Raw genomic sequence first — 2,465 nt, 5'->3', positions numbered from 1 at the left:
TTGAAAAAAAACTCATTATTGTATGTTAAGCTTTTTGAATCCTGAATAAAAGAAATCAGTATGACTGTAGGACATACTGAATGTTTACTGTGCATCAAACACTGTGCCAGGTACTCTCTTTATGTTGTAGCTTTTGATACTTAAATAATCCTGTGAAGGGCTGAGGAGGAATGCTATACCTGAGAACAAGACACTGCTACAGGAGTTAAGAAGAAATCACTTAGGCAGGTAGCAAGGGTATGGGAGTCTTCAGTAAGGCTTTCTTTTTAATGAAAAGCAGCCCCAAACCATTTTCTAACAAAGAGCAGCCTGTAAAGTCCAGCTGCAGACGCAGACAAGCAAGCTGGGAGTTTGCACGGGTGAATGCTGGCAGGAACTAGGGACTAGACATGTTCAAGATGGCAGCTCCATCTTCCCTCTCTGCCAGCCATGTGTACAGTAAGGAGCAGACAAGATGGTGCTGGCCAAGGGGAAAGTTCATTTCCATTACAGGATTAGGGTGGAGAGACCAGCCTTCCCCACACACTATGTAAACGTCATACCTGATCAAACCAATCCATGAGCCCTACATAAATCAGACACCACCTCCTCAAGCTGAACTATAAAATCTGGCACATGTGCCACCAGCTGGTCTTTTCCACTTTTCCACTCAAAGAACCCTCTCTCTAGAGAGAGAGAGAGCTGTTTTTCTTTCTCTTTTCTTCTGCCTATTAAACCTCCACTCCTAAACTCCTCATGTGTGTTCATGTCCTAAATTTTCCTGGTGAGAGAAGACGAATCCTGGGTGTATACCCCAGACAATGTAGCCACTTCATATGGGGGACCTCGTCTAGGATACCAAAGCACAACATTCACTGAAACAGTGAGTAGAGGAGCGGACTCCAACTTTGTCCTCTGTTTTCAGGGCTCTCAGCCTCTATTTTAGAAGCAAATCAAATCAATAATGGGCATCCGTTAGCCAGTTAAAAACACAGCATGGCTGTCATTCTTAAAGACTTGCATGTGAGGCTCGCTGGGGAGAACATGGAGAATCCCCCAGTACCCACGAGTTCCTGGGCATATTAGCTATGTTTGAACCAGCTTACTTTCATGGAGGACTTAGATGTTACGGGGGGCTGGAAGAGGTTTTGAAGTGACTGAAGATTTCTGGCTGGGGCTACTCCCCAGTGTTATCCAAAGGCTTCTAGACTGACCCCAGCCTCCGACCACCCAATGGGGTGCCAGCAACAGGATCTCCAACTTTCCTATCATAATTTCCTCCTTTCCTATCTGCAACCACCATATCTCCTATCCTCTCTGTGTATGCAATGTGTGGGAAGTTTTACAGTTCAGGGAAGTAATCTTGTTTGGCAAGATCAGGGAATGTCGTAGTAACCAGGGATATAACTCAAAGGGTGTCTTTGTGATTTTCTAGGAAGAGAGGGTCCCCCCTCCCACAGTGAGTATCACTCTCTGCCGTTGGTCTGGAGAGCACATGGAACTTCCAGGTCTCTCTCTGCCCTTGGTCTGGACAGCACATGGCATTTCAAGGTCAACAGCACCACCTAGTGGAATAGGGATCCTCTCCATGAGGCACATTGTAGGTCCTTTACCAAAACACTCTAGCTTCCCAATTCTCTTCTTTTTTTGCACTTCTCTACTAGAAATCAGGCTTCATGTTGCTTCTGTAAACTGGAAAATTCTGCCTTCAACAACTAGGAGTAAAATATCCTCCAAAGCCAAATTTTAGTCTCTATACTGTCCCATCAATAGTCATTTAGTCCCTATGTTATTTTAAGGCACCTATTCTGCCTCCAATTAGAATGGTACTTAATTAGTAAGGGAATTTTAAGTTCAGAAGTTAACCAGAACCATTCTCTAAGGGTGAAGGCTTTAGCATGGGCTATAACAGCAGTATATAGAGCTCAAACTAGCACACTACCTCTGTTAAGGAGGGAAGTGCAACAGTTGCCTGAATGCAACTGTCACATTGTCTCTCCCAAGATCCTTTTTTTTTTTTTTTTTTTTCCTGAGGAGCCAGGTAGGTCACAAAAGTCTAGGAAGTCAAAGGGAAATCACAGGCAGAGGACTAAAATCACATGGATGACTATGACTAATCCCAGTCTCTTAGTTCCTCTGTTTCCACAGCTGGAGGTCATGCCTGCAACCATGGGCAGCACATTCAACAACTTACCGGCACCCAGGAACCATGGAGAAAAAAACCAGCAGCGGGGACACCCCCACTGTCTTCCCATCCACCCTGGGTCGCAAGAAAAGTAAGGAGACTAAAGGAATGCCTTTTTCTCACTTCTCTTTCTAAATGGGTAACAGACCATCTTCAGCCTGCACCCCTCTGGAGTGCATTCTGAAACACAAGGACTCTTTGACCCTGAGACTTTGAACAAAAAGCAGTTCATTTTCTTTTGCATGAGGGCATGACCTTCTTATGCTCTTGAACCAGCCTGACCTTTGGAAGGGAGCCTTAA

At 44.8% G+C, this 2,465-nt stretch overlaps 1 annotated feature.

The window, feature by feature from the left end:
- Positions 1,412-1,706: an enhancer, noted in NCBI's record as "tiled region #5591; K562 Activating DNase matched - State 12:CtcfO, and HepG2 Activating non-DNase unmatched - State 12:CtcfO". NCBI's record gives its function as "activates a minimal TATA promoter and a strong SV40 promoter by Sharpr-MPRA in K562 cells, with weak activation in HepG2 cells {active_cell/tissue: HepG2 | K562}" and the evidence as "EXISTENCE:reporter gene assay evidence [ECO:0000049][PMID:27701403]".

Source organism: Homo sapiens, chromosome 7 (assembly GCF_000001405.40).
Source record: "Homo sapiens chromosome 7, GRCh38.p14 Primary Assembly".
In the NCBI taxonomy this organism is placed as follows: Eukaryota; Metazoa; Chordata; class Mammalia; order Primates; family Hominidae; genus Homo; species Homo sapiens.
This window is presented reverse-complemented; position numbering and strand designations above follow the sequence as displayed.